This window comes from Homo sapiens, chromosome 3, assembly GCF_000001405.40.
Source record: "Homo sapiens chromosome 3, GRCh38.p14 Primary Assembly".
Lineage (NCBI taxonomy): Eukaryota > Metazoa > Chordata > Mammalia > Primates > Hominidae > Homo > Homo sapiens.
The window spans coordinates 153063454-153083511 of NC_000003.12; the positions used below are offsets into that span (position 1 = coordinate 153063454).

Here is a 20058-nt window from a genome sequence, read left to right on the forward strand (position 1 = left end):
ATTACATCTTTATCCCCAAAAAACCTCTGGGAGAATGCAGACAAGCTGTTATTACACCCATTCTACAGACAGGACAACTAAGATCCAGACTGCTTTGTATCACATAGTGAACTAGTAGGGTCATAGAATTTTCACATCCTACGTTCATTGTGAAGCCACATGTCATGTACCTCTAGAATTAAAAGTGTTCTATTTTTGAATCAAGGCTTTGTAAAATGTCAGGTTGTTTAATCCTAATTGATCTCAGTCAGCTCTTTCTTTAGGTCCTCACTATTTGCATATTCTAATTAACTCTGCTCTCTATTTTAGCAAATGTATATATACTTTTATTTTCACGATGATACTATAATGCTTGTCTCTTTTAAAATGAGTGTGTAGGGCCAGGCGCAGTGGCTCACACCTGTAATCCCAGCACTTTGGGAGGCCACGGTGGGTGGATCACCTGAGGTCAGGAGTTCAAGACCAGCATGGCCAACGTGATGAAACCCTGTCTCTACTAAAAATACAAAAAAAATTAGCCGAGCATAGTGGCAGGTGCCTATAACCCCAGCTGCTCGGGGGGCTGAGGCAGGAGAATGGCTTGAACCCAGGAGGCAGAGGTTGCAGTGAGCCGAGAACGTGCCATTGCACTCTAGCCTGGATGACAAGAGTGAAACTCTGTATCAAAAATAAATGAATAAATAAAAATAAAATAATAAAACAAAGTGAATATCTATTTATTGTAACAATTTTAGAAAAATATTAAAAATAAAAATCACCTATTATCCCATCACTCAGAGATGTCTACCGGTGACACTTCGTAAACATCCAACATCTATCCGTTTATTTTTCTACATAGTATATATACATATATGTATACATATATGTGTATATATGTATATGTGTGTGTGTGTGTGTATATATATGTGTATATATATACACATATATATATATATATTTAGAGAGAGAGAGAGAAATTTTTTGTTTTGTTTTAGAAACAGGGTCTTGCTCCATCCCCCAGACTGGAGTGTAGTGGCACAATCATAGCTCCCTGCAGCCTTGACATCCTGGGCTCAGCAGTCCTCCTGCCTCAGCCTCCTGAGTAGCTGGTACTATAGGTGTGCCCCACCACACCTGGATAATTTTTTAAAATTTTTTGTAGAGACAGGGTCTCACTATGCTGCCCAGACTAGTCTTGAACTCCCAGGCTCAAGTGATTCTCCCGCCTCCTCCCAAAGTGCTGGGATTACAGGCATGAGCCACCATGCCCAGCCTCATTTTATATGTTTTACTTCACTAATATGTGCTGAACATCTTTCCATGTTATTAACATGCCTTACAACCTTTCTTCTGGTAAATGTTATTGAAGTATAGCAGACATGCAGAAAAGTAAACAATCATTAGTGTAGAGCTTGACAAACACTCACAAAGTGAACATCCCCATGTATCAGCCTGAGACCAAGAAATGGAATACCCGCAGAACTCCAGAAGCCCTCTTTGCCTACCTCCCGTCAGGAGGCCCTCCCAAAGTTAACCACTACTTATTTTTGCCTGGTTTTGAGCCCTATACAAATGACATGTAGTATATACTCTTTTGTGCGTGGCTTATTTTGTTCAACATTTGAGTTTATTAGGTTCATTCATGCACAAATTCTTATTAATGGCTGCATAGTCTACTATATAGTTAGTACAATTAAATCAAGCTCAAAAGGAAAAAGTTCTCTTTTATGGAACATTTAAGCTATTTTGCATTGTTCATTATCATAAACAATGCTATAAATATCCTTATTGTTTTGTTCACATTCTTGTATATTCCGTAGGATAAGTTCACAGAAATTGAAATGTTGGTTGTAACGACAGTTAAAGCTCCTTTTTTTCTTTTCTTTTCTTTTTCTTTTTTTTTTTTTTTGACAGGGCCTCACTCTGTCACGCAGGCTGGAGTACAGTGGCACAATCAGTGCTCACTGCAGCCTCAACCTCCCAGGCTCAAGTGATCCTCCTGCCTCAGCCCTCAGAGTAGCTAGGAATACAGGTCTGTGCCATCATGCTGAGCTAATTTTTTTGTATTTTTTTTTAGTAGAGACGGGGTTTCACCATGTTGCCCAGGCTGATCTTGAATTTCTGGACTCAAGCAATCCTCCCACCTTGGCCTCCCAAGAGTGCTAGGATTACAGGTGTGAGCCACCTCACCCTGCCATGTTAAAGCTTTTGATGAGTATTACCAGATTACTCCTCAGAGTGGTGAAAATATATTTACACCAGTAGCATGTGAGTGTGAGTGGCTGTTTTCCTAGTATCTTCTCCATCAACACATATTACAATTTTCCTTACTCCTTATGGTTGCTGGTGGTTTCTAGTCAGAACATATTATAGCTATTAATAGTAATTTACTCAATTCAAATCTTGAATTATTTCAGAGAGAGAAGGACCAGTTTTTATTTTTTTAAAGTAAGTTTATTTTTATATGAGAGTTGTATGCACTGGATTTTGTTTAATATATTACTCCTCAGTTAATAACTTTTCTTAAGTAATAGCAGACATCATGATACAGGATTCCTTCAGTATGTACAGACTGATCTACCTAAATAGTTTACTTCTCAAACGTTTACTGTTCCAGGGTCTGAAATGAAATATAAATACGATGTTCTTGGCCGGGTGTGGTCTACTCAGGAGGCTGAGGCAAGAGAATCACTCGAACCCGGGAGGCGGAGGTTGCAGTGAGCCGAGATTGCGCCACTGCACTCCAACCTGGGTGACAGAGCGAGACTCCATCTCAAAATAAATATATACCTACATACATACTATGTTATTTATGCCTATATTTAAGTCACTTTCTAGTCCCTTAAGTATAGAGATTTACTAGTGTAATTAATAATTACTACCCCATGTTTTCATAACTTGAATTTTTTCTTTCCATAAGTCTTTTTTAAAGAACTTTATCTTATTCTAAAGATGACATGATTGTTTGATTGTTTGAAAATACAAATAAGTAAGAAGAAAAAAATCATCTATATTCCCTGCTTGTTTGAGAGGTTTTTGCTATCTCAGTGTAGTCTGTTTGTTCATTTGTTCCTTCTCTCTCTCTCTCGCTCTGGCTTCTTTTTTTTTTTTTTTTAATGAGACAGAGTCACTTTTTCACCCAGGCTGGAGTGTAGTGGTACAATCATGGCTCACTGCAGCTTCCATCTTCTGGGCTCAAGGGATCCTCCCACCTCAGCCTCCCAAGTAGCTGGGACTACAAGCATGCACCACCACATCTGGCTAATTTTTTTATTTTTTAGAGACAAGGTTTTGCTATTCTGCCCAGACTGGTCTCCAACTCCTGGCCTCAAGTGATCCTCCTCCCTCGGCCTCCCAAAGTGCTGGGACCACAGACACCTGGCCTTATTGTAGTCTTTCTGATATACATTTATATAGCTATTTTTCACACACGAGCAAAAAAAAAAAAGCTTTACATATGATGTTTTATAACCTGCTTTTTTTCTCTTAACATGTTATAGACAGTTTTCCATCTAATCACCTCTTGATCCAAACAACTTTACTCAATCAATTAGTGTGTCTATACCTATACACAGTCTCTCCAGAGTGGTTATATGTATGTATATCTATCTATCTGTCTACACACACATACATCCACATACACACACCAAACTATAAAAATAGGTGAGAGTTCCTTTTCCTTGTGGAATTATGAAATTATGTCACAATTATGTGTAGTGTTGAAAGAGTCGTGGCAAGCAGTGTGAAGAAGAAGAGGCGAGAACCACCCCCGGACCGACCAAAGGCTGCACGCCGCTGCACCTCGCGCCCAGTGCCTATGTCCCACGGCTGTCATCCCCGCCACCATGCCTAAGAGAAATGCTGAAGGGGATGCTAAAACAAATAAAGCCAAAAGGTGAAGGACAAACCATAGAGAAGATCCGCGAGGTTGTCTGCTAAACCTGCTCCTCCAAAGCCAGAGCCCAAGCCTGAAAAGGCCCCTGCAAATAAGGGAGAGAAGGTACTCAAAGGGAAAAAGGGAAAAGCTGATGCTGGCAAGGAGGGGAATAAACTTGCAGAGAATGGAGATGCCAAAGAGAATAGGCACAGAAAGCTGAAGGTGCTGCAGATGCCAAGTGAAGTGTGTGTATTTTTGATAACTGTGTACTTCTGGTGACTGTACAGTGTGAAATACTATTTATCAAGTTTTATAAAAATGCAGAATTTTATTTTACTTTTTTTAAAGCTATGTTGTTAGCACACAGAACACTTCATTGTTGTTTTTGGGGGAAGGGGCTTATGTCCCTAATAGAATGCCTCCGAAGCTGGATTGATGTGGGGAAAACACCTTTCCCTTCTAGTTTTGAGAGACTTCCTCTTGGCTCCCAGGAGGAGAGATTCCCTGACTTTGACACACATGGCCTCTTGGCACAAAAGCCTTGTGGTATGGAAAAACAAATTCATATTTATGTCCCCTTCTCCCTTTCCATCTTTCATCATAGACTTAATTTCCTTAAGCCCAGACATCTGTTGGGACCTGACTCCCAGTTATTGGTTACCAGTGTGTCAGGCAATCTGGACTTTCCAGTGATGCCACTTAGATGGCACCTGTCAAAAGAGCAGTGGTTCCATTTCTAGATTGTGGATCTTCAGATACATTCTGCCATTTTCATTTCACTTCCTGAAAGTCAGGGTCAGCTTGTGAAAAGTTGTTAAACAACATGCTAAATGTGAAATGTCAACCCTCACGTTAAACTTTCCCTGTTCAGAGCATCAGATGAAGACTTCATTGGGTTTTATGGTGGCTTTCTGATTTTTGGTAGTCCATTGAAGAAGAGAGTTTGAAAATTGCTGTATACTGTTAACGATTGTCTGCCCATGTCCGCCTGAAATACCATGATTGTTTATGGAAAGTATCTCTAATAAAGCTGGATACAGTTTGGCTTGGAAAAAAAAAAAAAAAAGAAAGAAAGAGTCCTGGCATCCAGGGAGGCCAGGTGAGAATGTGTTTATTGATGTAACTTCTCTTGACTCTAGCCCATCCCCTTCTTTTATTTTTCTCCTAGTACCTCTGTCCTACCAAAAGGAAAGTATCAACTCCTCCTTCTTGTCTTTCCTGTACATTTCTGTTTCCAGCCAGGAATTTTGAATGCAGAGGTCTACAATTTTCTTCCATCATTTTCTAAACAGGCTACTTCTGAGAAACAGTCAGGTAGCTACATTTGTTTCCCCTGAGTGTCACTGTTGTTTAAATTTCACTTACAGTCATGCATGCCATGCTTATCAATTAGAAGTGCTGTTTCCATTCATTAATTGTATGAGCCGATGGTACAATAGTTAGCTCACTAAAAAGATATGTAATCACTGTATAGGACGTACAGTTTTAAATTGTTAGGATTTGAGGGCCGGGCGCGGTGGCTCACGCCTGCAATCCCAGCACTTTGGGAGGCCACAGTGGGTGGATCACTTGAGGTCAGGAGTTGGAAACCAGCCTGGCTGGCTGGACGCGGTGGCTCAAGCCTGTAATCCCAGAACTTTGGGAGGCAGAGGCGGGCGGATCACGAGGTCAGGAGATTGAGACCAGCCTGGCTAATATGGTGAAACCCTGTCTCTACTAAATATACTAAATAATTAGCCGGGCGTGGTGGCGGGTGCCTATAGTCCCAGCTACTTGGTAGGCTGCAGCAGGAGAATGGCCTGAGCTGGGAAGGGAGAGCTTGCAGTGAGCCGAGATCACGCCACTGCACTCCAGCCTGGGCGACAGAGTGAGACTCCGTCTAAAAAAAAACAAACAAAACCAGCCTGGCCAACATGGTGAAACCCCGTCTCTACTAAATATACAAAAAAAAAAAAAAAAAATTAGCCAGGTGTGGTGGTGGGTGCCTGTAATCCCAGCTTCTTGGGAGTCTGAGGCACGAGAATCACTTCAACCCAGAAGGTGGAGGTTGCAGTGATCCAAGATTGCACCACCACACTCCAGCCTGGGCAACAGAGCGAGACCCTGTCTCAAAAAAATAAATAAATAAAAATACATTGTTAGGATTTGGAATAGGTCTAGTATTTTTCTAATACGATGTGAGGGTGGGGGAGTGGAGAAAAGAGCTCATTACTGTAGCTCCACAGCAACATATTTACAAGAATATAACTTTCTAGTTAACCTATCAAAAATGAGTGTATATTTTTAATGTTATTAATGTTTAAATTTGGTATACTTGCATACTTCACCAGGCAATGCGATGAGACAAACAGTTCCCTAATTTAACTTTTTGCCCAAGATAAGATAAGTAACTGTTATAAAACTGTAGTTAACTCTTCTTGGTTTCAGTGAGAAAAAAAAAAAAAAGAACTCCCTCTGAGGATCAACGGTGATTTATTCACTAAGCCCAGTCATTGTTTGAGTATCTTAAAGGGTATTAAACGTGACATATTCATGTGAAAAGTTTGTCTTCTTTGTATTTGACAGAACAAAATCCACAAATCATTAGACCCAAAACTAAACTTGAGATGAAAGGTCATTGCTTTTTTTCCACCAAGCCATCTAACCAAGCTTAAGCACAAATATAAAACCATCTGTTTACCAGGAGGCAAAGGAGCACAAAATCCATTAGTGCCATATGTATCAACAGAAGTGTGACTTCAGAGCCGCAAATGTTTTCAATATTTTTCCTTCATTATTTTCTGCCAGAAACTTAGTTGGAATGGTTTTCCTTTCCATAAAATGCACCGAATTTCAGTTTAATTATGTAAGTCCTTCCCCCCTTATTAAGTAATTACACATATTTTCTCATCCATGTGTCTATATTTCACAAGTAACTGCTTCCTTTTGTTGGCAAGAACAGAAAATTAACTAAAAAAAGAGGGAAGCAATGAGATTTTATTTTCAATGTCTGTCCCTTCTTTCTCCTTAGGGGAACTAACACATCTTCCAATGCATCACAAGATAAAGATGCTGACTCAGTCTATTAAGTCATCCCTGGAGTCTGTGGCACAGCCCTTAATAAGACAGTTTGCTGTACAAAAAGTTGTTTTATTAAATGAATGAAAAATAACTTTTCCTTGCACAAAATTGTCCTTAGTGAAATAACTTAAATATGAGACCAAATTCTCCCATACTTATCCCAAAACATTGCAGAGAGCAAACAGAAAGTCAAAATGACAAAATTGCTTAGTTAGAAATTATGCTTTGAAAATTTCACCAAAAATGGGAGGTTAATTGTGGTTGACATATGGGAGTGAAATTCTTGCCAACTGAAAAAAAAAAAAAAAAAGTGAGCAGAACTTCAGAGGGCGGGGGAGGAAACAAAGTAAGTGAGAAAGTTTCAGATACAGTGTTAATGGTTGTACCTTATTTATGTGGATATAGATTTGTCTAAATAATAATCCTTTGCACTTGTGGCTTATAAAACATAACATTTTTATATCCATTACCTCATTTGATCCTTACAACAATCCTGAGAATAAGACAGAATAAATTACCCCCTAAAATTACAGATGTGGAATCTGAGGTTCAGGAGTGTGAAATGACTTGTCCAAGGTCTCATGTGGCTGGTCAGTGGCAAAACTCCTGACTCTGAATGAGCCCTGCCCTACTAGTGCCTTGTTTTGTTTTTGTATTTATTTATTTATTTATTTACTTATTTATTTGGAGATGAAGTCTCTCTCTGTGGCCCAGGGTGGAGTGCAGTGGCACGATCTCGGCTCACTGCAACCTCCATTTCCTGGGTTCAAGCAATTCTCCTGCCTCAGCCTCCCGAGTAGCTGGGACTACAGGCACACGCCACCACGCCCAGCTAATTTTTTGTATTTTAGCAGAGATGGGGTTTCAACATGTTGCCCAGGCTGTTCTCAGACCCCTGAACTCAGGCTATCCGCCCGCGTCGACCTCCCAAAGTGCTAGGATTACAGGCATGAGCCACTGCGCCCGGCCTAGTTTTTTTTTTGTTTTTGTTTTTGTTTGAGAAGGAGTTTCACTCTCGTTGCCCAGGCTGGAGTGCAATGGAGCGATGTTGGCTCACTGCAACCTCCGCCTCCCGGTTTCAAGTGATTCTCCTGCCTCAGCCTCCTGAGTAGCTGAAATTACAGACATGCGCCACCACACCTGGCTAATTTTGTATTTTTAGTAGAGACAGGGTTTTTCCATGTTGGTCAGGCTGGTCTCGAACTCCTGACCTCAGGAGATGTGCCTGCCTCAGCCTCCCAAAGTGCTGGGATTACAGGCGTGAGCCACTGTGCCCAGCCTACTACGGCCTTTTTAAAAGTAACTGCCAGAAAATTACTTAGATACAAATTCTAAGAATGCTATAGTGACTCAGTTGTGTTGCTGGAACAAAAGAAAGTTAGAAATTATTTAAACAGACACTCTACATAAAAGATTAAATTCAGACTGGGCTCGGGGGCTCACGCCTGTAATCCCGGCTACTCAGCAGGCCAAGGTGAGAGAACTGTTTGAGCCTAAAAGTTCGAGACCAGCCTGGCAATTTAGCAAGACACACTGTCTCTAATGATATAAATAAATTAATTAAAAATTTAAAAAGAAAAAAGATTAAATTCAGGTCATTAACTTCAGCCTGCTGCATCCAAATCTTTCAAAGATTCTTACTTTCACATATTAACTACAGATATTTAAATTCCTCCTTTTTAATGGTTGATTCATTAAAGTTTCACTAATTTTTCTTTCTCTTGCTGCCAGAGAAAGCCAACAGTAGAACAGCAGAATTAAAATAGAAGGAATAAAATAGATTTTTATATTCTGAAAAGTCAAAAATAGGACTCTGATATTCATTGATTAATCATGAAATAATATCAGCCTGAGGAGGTTATTGACTTAGTAGATGACTATAAAATAGCCTCCTGACTTGTCTTCCTACCTCCTCTCTCTCCCTCTTCCCTCCATCCTATATTTTGCTGGAAGATTATTTCAACGTAGTTACCATGTGCGAGACCTTCCATAAACTAGCAAAGAAAATATAAACTTTTCACTCTGGAATTCAAGACCTCTGCAAAATAATAGTCCCTACCATCTATTAAACAACCACTGTAAACCTGCTTCCAAAAAACTCTCAAACCGTATTTTTCCTCTATTCTTGCACCTCCACAATAATCATCAACACAGAAGACTTCTGTGACCAAACGTGGGGGAGGTTTTCCCCACACACCAAGCAGTGGACACCAGCTGGGTCTCCTCCAGTTCAATTCTGACACTATCTTCCTTGAGATGGTATCAGGTCCCACAGGCTGAAGGCTCAGGCCTGGAGTGCCTCCCAACCCCAGACACCAGCTGCAAGTCCAGGCCTCCAGAACTTCTGACTGACTGGCTTCAAATTGGGGTTCCCATGACCCCTCTTCAGGTTCAATTAATTTGCTGGAGCATCTCACACAACTCAGGGAAACATGTTTACTGGTTTATTTTAAAGAATACAGATGAAGGGATGCATAGGGTGAGGTATGGAGGAAAAGGAACAGAGTTTCCACACCCTCTCTGGGCACACCAACCTCCAGGAAGCACCACACATTCCACTATTCGGGAGCTCTCTGAACGGAGTCTTGGGGTTTGTTGGAAGCTTCACGATGCCACATTCCTTCCCTCGGGGTATAGGGTAGGACACAATCTGGGTAGAGTCTTAAGGCCCACAATCAGAAAGATCGGGAAGATTAGGGTCCTGCCTTGGGGCAGGTAAAAGAAGGGCAGGAGAAGGTCTGAGAGATTTTGTTTCCTGAGGCCTGCCCCTGAGGCTAAAACACTCAACATTGTAACAAAAGACTAACAAGGGCTATGGGAGTTATCAGCCAAGAACCATGGACAAAAACCTACATATGTATATCTCAAAACACTTTTAACAATCCAGGAAACATGGGGCCAGGCATGGTGGCTCACAGCTGTAATCCCAACACTTTGGGTGTCCAAGATTTGAAAATCACTTGAGCCCAGGAATTTGAGACTAGCCTGGGCAACACACTGTGGCGTCTCTGCAAAAAATTTTTTAAATGTGTTAACTGGCCAGGCTCGGTGGCTCACACCTTAATCCCAGCACTTTGGGAGGCCGAGGTAGGCGGATCACAAGGCCAAGAGATGGAGATCATCCTGGCCAACATGGTGGAACCCCGCCTCTACTCAAAATACAAAAATTAGCCAGGCATGGTGGCACGCGCCTGTAATCCCAGGTACTTGGGAGGCTGAGGCAGGAGAATTGCTCCTACCCAGGAGGCAGAGGTTGCAGTGAGCCAAGATCACGCCATTGCACTCCAGCCTGGGTGACAGAGTGAGACTCTGCCTCAAAAAAAAAAAAAAAAAAAAAGGAATATGTATGACTATGTCAATTTTAGAAATGAGAAAACTGAGGCTGATAGAGGTTAAGTAATATTCCCTAGGTTAGGTATTTAGCACGTGGTGAAACCATGTCCCAACCCAGACCTGTCTAACAACTCTAAAGTCCAGCCTGTCTTTCTAGATTTATTTCTGATTATCAGGATATACATAGCCCACAGTACCTTCAGTGTACAGCGCTAGTCTCATAAACATTGCTAGCCCCATCACAGTTCTAGTCTGTTATGGAGCCAATTTTTCTACCTTAATTGTTCTCCCTAATGCTACTGCTTATAAAAACGTTAGTTTTTCGGCTGGGAGCTGTAGCTCACGCCTGTAATCCCAGCACTTTGGGAGGCCAAGGCAGGCGGATCACGAGGTCAGGAGATGGAGACCATCCTGGCTAACACGGTGAAACCCCGTCTCTACTAAAAATACAAAAAAATTACCCGGGCATGGTGGCAGGCGCCTGTAGTCCCAGCTACTCGGGAGGCTGAGACAGAATGGCGTGAACCCAGGAGGCGGAGCTTGCAGTGAGTGGAGATGGCACCACTGCACTCCAGCCTGGGCGACAGAGCTAGACTCCATCTCAAAAAAAAAAAAAATCGTTTTTCTGGATTCATCTCCCACATCATCTTCTCCTTGAAGTCACTCCTGAATCTAATCTCCAGCAACTTCCCAAATATGAAAAAAAAAGTACCTGTTTTTGAACACCTTTATATCTTTGCATAATTCTTTTGTTTTTGTTTGTTTTTTGTTTTTTTGTTTTTTGGTTTTTGTTTGTTTGTTTTTTGAGACAGAGCCTCATTCTGTCGCCCAGGCTGGAGTGCAGTGGCATGATCTCGGCTCACTGCAACCTCCGCTTCCCAGATTCAAGCAATTCTCCTGCCTCAGCCTCCTGGGTAGCTGGGACTACAGGTGTGCACCACCATGCCTGGCTAGTTTTTGTATTTTTAGTAGAGACGGGGTTTCACTGTGTTGGCCAGGCTGGTCTTGAACTGCCTCGTGATTCGCCCACCTCGGCCTCCCAAAGTGCTAGGATTATAGGCGTGAGCCACCGCGCCCGGCCACATCTTTGCATAATTCTTATGGCACTTACCTGACTCTTCTTTTATTGTAGTTCTTTTCATAACCGCTTTAAAACTGCAAGGCTGGGCTCTGTGGCTCACACCCATAATCCCAGCACATTGGGAGGCTGAGGCAGGCGGATCACTTGGGGCCAGAAGTTGGAGACCAGCCTGGCCAACGTGATGAAACCCCGTCTCTATTAAAAATACAAAAATTAGCCAAGTGTGGTGGTACATGACTGTAATCCCAGCTACTCAAGAGGCTGAGGCAGGAGAATTGCTTGAACCTAGGAGGTGGAGGTTGCAGTGAGCCTAGATCATGCCACTGCACTCCAGCCTGGGCAACAGAGTGAGACTCTATTTCAAAAAAAATAAAATAAAACTTTACAAGCTTCTTGCAGACAGGAACTAGGGTTTATTCATTAGTAATATATCCTTGTATCCCCCAACAGGGATTAAATGCCTCAATAAAAATTTGTAGTGTTGAATAATAAATACCACCTAGAATATGCTGTCTAAAACAGAAGTTCTCTCTTTCTTTTTGAAATCTCCTCTTCCTTCCCTCTTCCCTAGCTCATTGAAGGTACCACCAGCCACCCATGAGCCAGCAACTCTCAATGACATTCTTGACTCTTCCCTTTACCTCATCCCACATCCAAATGCAAATTCTAGGCTGGACACAGTGGCTCACACCTGTAATGCCTGTAATCCCAGCATTTTGGGAGGCCAAGGCAGGCAGATCACCTGAGGCCAGGAGTTCGAGACCAGCCTGGCCAACATGGTGAAATCTCATCTCTACTAAAATTACAAAAATTAGCCAGGCATGGTGGCACATGCCTGTAATCCCAGCTACTAGGGAGGCTGAGGCAGAATTCCTTGAACCCAAGAGGTGGAGGTTGCAGTGAGCCGAGATTGTGCCACTGCACTCCAGGCCTGGGAGACAGAGCGAGACTCCATCTCAAAAACAAACAAACAAACAACAACAAATACAAATTATGTGAATATATCTTCTAAATGTCTCTACAATTCAAATATTTCTCCAGTTCACCTATTTTATAGGCCATATCACCTGTGCACACTTGAGAAACATATGTCCAAATAAAAACACTCAGAGAAAGTAAGCAATGTGCTCAATGTACTGTTTATTTATTTATCTATTTTGAGACAGGGTCTCACTTTATCACCCAAGCTGGAGTAAAATGGCAGTCTCTGCTCACTGCAACCTCTGCCTCTCGGGTTCAAGAGGTTCTCCTGCCTCAGCCTCCTGAGTAGTTCGGATTATAGGCACGCGCCACCATGCCCTGGTAATATCAATGTACATAGTAAATGGGTCCATCTCATTGCCATTTAAATGAAGTCAGTTATCTCCAAATTTATAAAACAAACTATAAGCAAGCCCCTTCACTTTAACTCTACTTATAGCTGGTTCTCTATGTTCCTTCTTTTGCAGTCAAAGTCTTCTCCTCCCTTATATTTCTCATTTACTTCCCAACTCACTTTATCTGGCTTTCCCCTCCACCGTTCAATTTACTCTATCTCCTCAGTTGCAGATGACTCCAAGGATTTTTGGAGTGAGCCACTGGAAGGATGGTTTCTATTGGGAGGATGAAGTCGCCCTTTACTTGGTTCCTGGGGCGTGTTTGCTTTTGAAGATGCTAAACTGGAGATGCCTATTAGACATTATTAATGAGGCACTTATGTTCTGCAGTGTGCAGGTCAGGCATTAGGTTAAAGTTGGACCTGTAAAGTTGGTAGTTTTCAATATACAGGGGATATGTAAATCCTGGTCCTAGGTAAGTACACTTAAAGCAGTGGTTTTCCAACCTCGACTGCATATTAAAATTACCTGGTGTGCCTAAGACTCCCAAAGCCAGCACTTGTTCTAGGCCAATTTATGTAGAATTTCTAGAGTGGTTACCCAGTCATCAGTATTGTTTAAAAATTTTCCTGACCGGCATGGTGGCTCACGCCTGTAATCCCAGCACTTTGGGAGGCCGAGGTGGGCAAATTACTTGAGGTCAGTAGTTTGAGACCAGCTTAGCCAACATGGTGAAACCCTGTCTCTACTAAAAATACAAAAATTAGCTGGGAGCGGTGGCACATGCTGTAATACCAGCTACTCAGGAGGCTGAGGCACGAGAATCACTTGACCCTGGAAGGCAGAGGTTGCAGTGAGCCTGGATCGCACCATGGCATTCCAGCTTGGGTGACAGAGCAAGACACTGTCTCAAAAACAAACAAACAAACAAACAAACAAATGTCCTGGGTTATACTTATCTGGGAATTTAAGTAGTTAAAAAAAAAAAAAGAGGAATTAATTGTTTCCAAAGAGTATTCAGCACAGTCAGGACTTAAATAGAATTGGACTTCGAGTTTCCAGAATCTTTCCTCTCCATTCTCCCAAATTCCTCACGGCTTAAAAAACTGCAACTGGGCCGGGCACGGTGGCTCAAGTCTGTAATCTCAGCACTTTGGGAAGCAGAGGCAGGTGGATCACCTGAAGTACAGAGTTCAAGATCAGCCTGGCCAACATAGTGAAACCTTGTCTCCCCTAAAGATACAAAAATTAGGCCAGGAGCAGTGGCTCTGCCTGTAATCCCAACACTTTGGGAGGCCAAGGCGGGCGGATCACCTGAGGTTGGGAGTTTGAGACCATCCTGGTCAACATGATGAAACCCTGTCTCTACTAAAAAAAACAAAACAAAACAAACAAAACAGGCATGGTGGCATGCACCTGTAATCCCAGGTACTCCGGAGGCTGAGGCAGAAGAATTGCTTGAACCCAGGAGGCAGAGGTTACAGTGAGCCGAGATCACGCCACTGCACTCCAGCCTGGGCGACAAGAGTGAAACTTCATCTCAAAAAAAGAATAGAATAAAATACAAAAATTAGCTAGGCATGGTGGTGCATGCCTGGAATCCCAGCTACTTGGGAGGCTGAGGCAGGAGAATCCCTTGAACCCAGGATGCAGAGGTTGCAGTGAGCTGAGATTGTGCCACTGCACTCCAGCCTGGGTGACAAACAGACTCCGTCTCAAAAAACAAACAAACAAACAAAAAAATCCTGCAACTGTAGGTTGTTCTATCAGGGGATAGATAGAACACAGTAAAGAACATCGATCATTATTCATTCAACAAATGTATTTAAGTCCTGGGACACCATGTTAGTTTCAGAAGACTTTAAAGATAAAACACAGGTCCCACCACAAGGAGCTTACAGTCTGTCTAGTCCAGGAAGGTAAACTTGTAAACAAGTAAGTATGATAATGAAGTGGGCTATATGGGGGTATGAAAGTAAAAGGGTCAATTTTATTGTGGGGTGGGGTGGTAGCCAGTTTAGGTTCATACAGAAGGTGAAGCTTGAGCTTTGCAGGCAGACAAGGAGGGGTTAGAGTGGATAACCCCAGGAAGAGACATGTGTGAGTCAAAGAGCCTGATGTTACTGGGAAACTGTTAATAACTTAGAGTGGAGAATGTATTTGAGTGTGCACAGGGTGAGGGGTGGGACTGGTGGAGGGTATAAAGTTGATTAGGGAAATAAATCAGGAGTGAGAAGGATGAACCTTATATACTGCATTAAAGCCTTTAAACTTTCTCTGGATGGCTTCCTCCAATAAACAATATCTTACAATGTGAGTTAACAGGAAGCCACTGAATGAAAGTTCCATAACTAGAATTGTATTTTCCAGCAAACCCTAGAAAGACATCTTAGATCTCATAAATTGCCTCCATAATCTTTGGAAACCACAGTGTGGTCCACTGGATTCCCTCATTGCATTTCTATTTATTTATTTATTTATTTATTTGAGACGGAGTCTTGCTCTGTTGCCCAGGCTGGAGTGCAGTGGCACCATCTCGGCTCACTGCAAGCTCCGCCTCCCGGGTTCATGCCATTCTCCTGCCTCAGCCTCCCGAGTAGCTGGGACTACAGGCACCTGCCACCACGCCTGGCTAATTTTTTGTATTTTTAGTAGAGATGGGGTTTCACCATGTTAGCCAGGATGGTCTCGATCTCCTGACCTCGTGATCCGGCTGCCTCGGCCTCCCAAAGTGCTGGGATTACAGGCGTGAGCCACCCCACCCGCCCTGCATTTCTATTTAGATATGCAACTTCTAAAGTGGGAAAATGGGAAAATGGGATTACCTACACAATTGTTTGCCCATTTTAGCATGCTCTTTGGCTTCCCACATTCTCTATTGCAGTTCTCCAGCAGAACAAACACTTGCCCCAGGTGGTTGATAACCACAAGCTTCACACAGATAGTGACGTAGAGACCACCCCTGACTCATTCGGCCCTTACCTGCCTTGTAGAAGAGATCATGAGAAATGGAGTCCACTTGCTCCTTAACCCCTCCAGCGCTGCCTAGGGGGAATTGACTCTTTCTGTGCATTTGTGATCAACTTTATTGCAACGTAGAGCGACATTATTATAAAAGGAAAATTTTGGAGAGAGGTGCAAGTGTGTTCAACCCTCAAGGGTGGGGGAGACCAGCAAAAGGGCTGCCTGTTTTACCACCTGTTCCCTGGGCACTAAAGCTTTGCAGACAGCACCTGCGGAGGCACTAGAAACTGCTGTGGGCAACACTATTCGAGATGTGAATCGCAAGCCATTTTCCCACAGATAGTCTTATTGTTTAATTCAGAAAACTACCTTGTACATTCTTGAACACAGGTAAGGCCTGTGGAAAGAGAGTAGGGCCCTTGTTCTAGGTGTCTGTCTCTACTCTGCTTCTGTTTAGAAACACCTGGTGTGTAGGTCTTATCTCACTCTGCTACCATCTGGAAGACAAGGAAACCTATAGCTTTATCCTCAATCCCACTGCTTGACTTAGTGAACCTGGCAAGCTGCTTAACCTCTAGATGCCATAATAGCTTTTTTTCCCACCAAGAGTAATGCATGCCTCTTTCTAATTTCCTGAAATGCTGGATGAACTCAATTGAAGCTTTTTGGAGGAAATAGTTAATATGTATATAACTGTTGTAATCAACTAATTCATCTCAAAATTATGTTTTCTTTTTGTTTTTGTTTTTGTTTTGTTTTGTTTTTAGACAGAGTTTCACTCTTGTTGCCCAGGCTGGAGTGCAATAACACGATCTCGGCTCACCACAACCTCCACCTCCTGGGTTCAAGCGATTCTCTTGCCTCAGCCTCCCGAGTAGCTGGGATTACAGGCATGCACCACCACACCTGGCTGATTTTTTTGTATTTTTAGTAGAGACGGGGTTTTTCCATGTTGGTCAGGCTAGTCTCGAACTCCCGACCTCAGGTGATCCGCCCACCTTGGCCTCCCAAAGTGCTGGGATTACAGGCGTGAGCCACCATGCCTGGCCTCAAAATTGTTTTTTTGTTTTCTTGTTTTTTTCAGACGGAGTCTCGCTCTGTTTCCCAGGCTGGAGTGCAGTGGTGCAGTCTCAGCTCACTGCAAGCTCCGCCTCCTGGGTTCAAGCCATTCTCCTGCCTCAGCCTCCCGAGTAACTGGGTCTACAGGTGCCTGCAACCACGCCCGGCTAATTTTTTGTATTTTTAGTAGAGATGGGGTTTCACCGTGTTAGCCAGGACGGTCTCGATATCCTGACCTCGTGATCTACCCACCTTGGCCTCCCAAAGTGCTGGGATTACAGGCGTGAGCCACCGCGCCCGGCCCAAAATTATGTTTTTAAATTTTCTTTTGAAATGGAGAAAATATATTTTTCCTAAGAGAAATAGTCTTCTATGATATCTGTTGAAAATGAACATAGCACAATTGTGTAAAGTATTAAAATATCAGTTCCAAATTAAAGATTTTTTTTAAAAAATGGCAACTTTTCAAAATGATAAACATTTACTGCTCCTGTAGCTTCCCAAAAGATAAGGCAAAATAGAATTCTGATGAACTTCTGAGATCCTGGGCAAAAGATTTAAACAATGTCTCTTCATATTTCCAACTACAAGAGAAGTCATCAAATGTTACATTCCATTAATTCAATATAGATGGATAACTACTAACTTACAACTCAGAAGTGTTCTTAAGTCCATTCATTCCTGATAAAGACAAATTCATTTTTGAAATTCTCATCTTTACCTCTTAGGACATGGCAGTTGATTTCCTAGAACTATACAATTAATCTACTTTTTGCTTAGACAGACCAAGCTGAAGCTGTTCTTAATGATAAGAAAAAGGCGTGGAAGGGAGCCTGTCAAATAGGATTATTCAGAGGAAGGAAAGCTAAGTGGATTTAAAAATGCAACCTGTCATTGCCTTCTACAAATCATATTGGAAGAATTGAAAAACAGAATAGCATTTTATAAAGTATAAGCCCTAAGAAGGAGAAACAACTTCCGGTTTAAAAAAAATGTGTTACGTAACTGCCATGGTTATGGGTAGCTTAGATGGCTCAATATGAAATGTATTATATGACAGAATTAAAGGTGTGTGTGCATGTGTATTTCCTAACAGCTCTATTCACTGTCAGGTATTAAAGGTCAAGAATAGCACATCACTGGGGATGTCTAATGTTCTCATTTAGATGACTGATGCCATTTATTTGTCTAGCATTGTTTTCTAAGCACATTATCAACCAAGAGCTGACATATCTTCAAATAACTGTATAGATTCACAGCTTATCTCATATTTCATAGTTTAAGAAATGGACAAGGCCAGGTGTGGTGGCTAACACCTGTAATCTCAACACTTTGGGAGGTTGAAGCAGAAGAATCACTTGAAGACAGGGGTTTGAGAGCAGCCTGGTCAATATAGGGAGACCTCATCTCTACAAACAAACCAACAAAACATTAAAACCACAAAAAGGCAATTTGTTGGCCAGACATGGTGACTCATGCCTGTAATCCCAGCACTTTGGGAGGCCGAGATGGGTGGATCACTTGAGGTCAGGAGTTCAAGACCAGCCTGGCCAATATGGTGAAAACCCGTCTCTACAAAAAATAAAAAATTAGCCAGGCGTGGTGGTATGTGCCTGTAATCCCAGCTACTCCGGAGGCTGAGTCTGGAGAATCACTTGAACCCTGGAGGTGGAGGCTGCAGTGAACTGAGATTGTGCCACTGCATTCCAGCTTGGGTGACAGAGCGACTCTGCTAAAACAAACAAACAAACAAAAAAACCCACACACGCACAAAAAGGCAATTTGTCTTCAGTGTCCCCAAATAACCTTTTCTGCTCTTTTGCCCTCTCACTTTGCCTTATTCACTTTACCTGTAACCATCATTCTCACACACACACACACACAAACAAACACACACGCACACACACACATATACATTGCGGTCATATAGCAAAGAGCCCAGTAATATAGCATATTAAGTTATAGCATGTTATTAGTTTTAATGCATTACTTCCCTTTGCTCTCTAAAAGAGAAAGGCAAGACAAATAAATTAAGCTTCAATAATAAAACACCAGGCACTTGTAGGAGAACGATACTAGTACCCACCCCCAAAATATGACACCTTAAAAAAATAATTTTAATAAATAGGAACAGGATTTCGCCATGTTGCTCAGGTTGGTCTTGAACTCCTGAGCTCAAATGATCCACCCATCTCAGTCTCCCAAAGTGCTGGGGTTACAGGCATGAGCCACTGTGCCAGGCCCAAAATAATACTTTGTGAATGTCCACCTTCTCTTTATGAATATGGCTGGCCTTGCTGCCTTAAGCTAAACATGAGTCAACAATAAAACCAAAAATTAAATTTATGTCTCCCAATTTATTCTGAGTTCTTACCATCAAGACTAATTCAATGCTGGTCTGGATGGCTCACGCCTATAATCCCAGCACTTTGGGAGCCTGAGGTGGGAGGATCACTTGTGTCTAGTTTGAGACCAACCTGGGCAACATGATGAGAACCCCACCCTACAAAAAATAAAAAATTAGTCAGGCGTGGTGATGCTTGCCTGTAGTCCTAGCAACTCAGGAGGCTGAAGTAGGAGGATCATCTTTGAGCTCAAGGGGTTGTGGGGAGATGTCGAGGCTGCAGTGAGCTGTGAACATGCCACTGCACTCCAGCCTGGGTAACAGAGTGGGATCCTGTCTCAAAAAAATAAAAAGAAAAAGACTAATTCAGGCAGTCTCTTTCATAATTAGCAATGGGAAAAGCAGATTGAATTGTGGAAATCCTAAGTTTTCAATAGGTCTGTGCTAGAGTTATATCTATAATAAACAGCTGGTATTCCAGACAACTATTGGCTGTGTTGGGGTTAGAAACCGATACCCCAAAATATTGTGGCTTTCTGACAACCTCCCCATAGCATTTGCATAAGATCCAGACCCGTCAGAAGGAATAATTGTTATTTTTTCACCTCTGTTTAAGACCAAGAATGTAACCACACCAAACAGACCCTTTCACAAGATAATGTACAAATTAATCTGTTTTCTGGCCCACTCATTCTCTCTAGTAATCCCCCCAACAGAATTCTTCTTCTCCCCGCCACCCACCAATAATCTGTATTGGTAGGATGGTTTGTAAGCCTCTGGACCACATTGTGGGGGGTGGGTAATCATTCTGTGGTTCTCTCCAAGTACAGGTTAAATACATTTACATGCTTTTCCTCCAAACAATCTGCCCTTTGCAACTGATTTTTCAATGAACCTTCAGAGGGCGAAGGGCAAGTTTCCCTTGGCCTCTACAGGTGCATATTTTTAACCCAACTTTTTAATTTAGTATTAAAAAGCTGGCTAATTGTGGAAGACAATGTGGCAGTTCCTCGAAGATCTAAAGACAGAAATTCCATTTGACCCA

General features: G+C 42.3%; 1 pseudogene, besides 2 other annotated features; it reads left to right on the forward strand.

Moving 5' to 3' along the window:
• Window positions 3716-4908, forward strand: HMGN2P13 (high mobility group nucleosomal binding domain 2 pseudogene 13; annotated as a pseudogene).
• Window positions 9701-10642: an enhancer, noted in NCBI's record as "H3K27ac-H3K4me1 hESC enhancer chr3:152790943-152791884 (GRCh37/hg19 assembly coordinates)". NCBI's record gives its function as "activates a minimal SCP1, AML or CMV promoter by ChIP-STARR-seq in naive H9 embryonic stem cells {active_cell/tissue: H9 hESC(naive)}" and the evidence as "EXISTENCE:reporter gene assay evidence [ECO:0000049][PMID:30033119]".
• Window positions 17287-17581: an enhancer, noted in NCBI's record as "tiled region #12123; K562 Activating DNase matched - State 5:Enh". NCBI's record gives its function as "activates a minimal TATA promoter and a strong SV40 promoter by Sharpr-MPRA in K562 cells {active_cell/tissue: K562}" and the evidence as "EXISTENCE:reporter gene assay evidence [ECO:0000049][PMID:27701403]".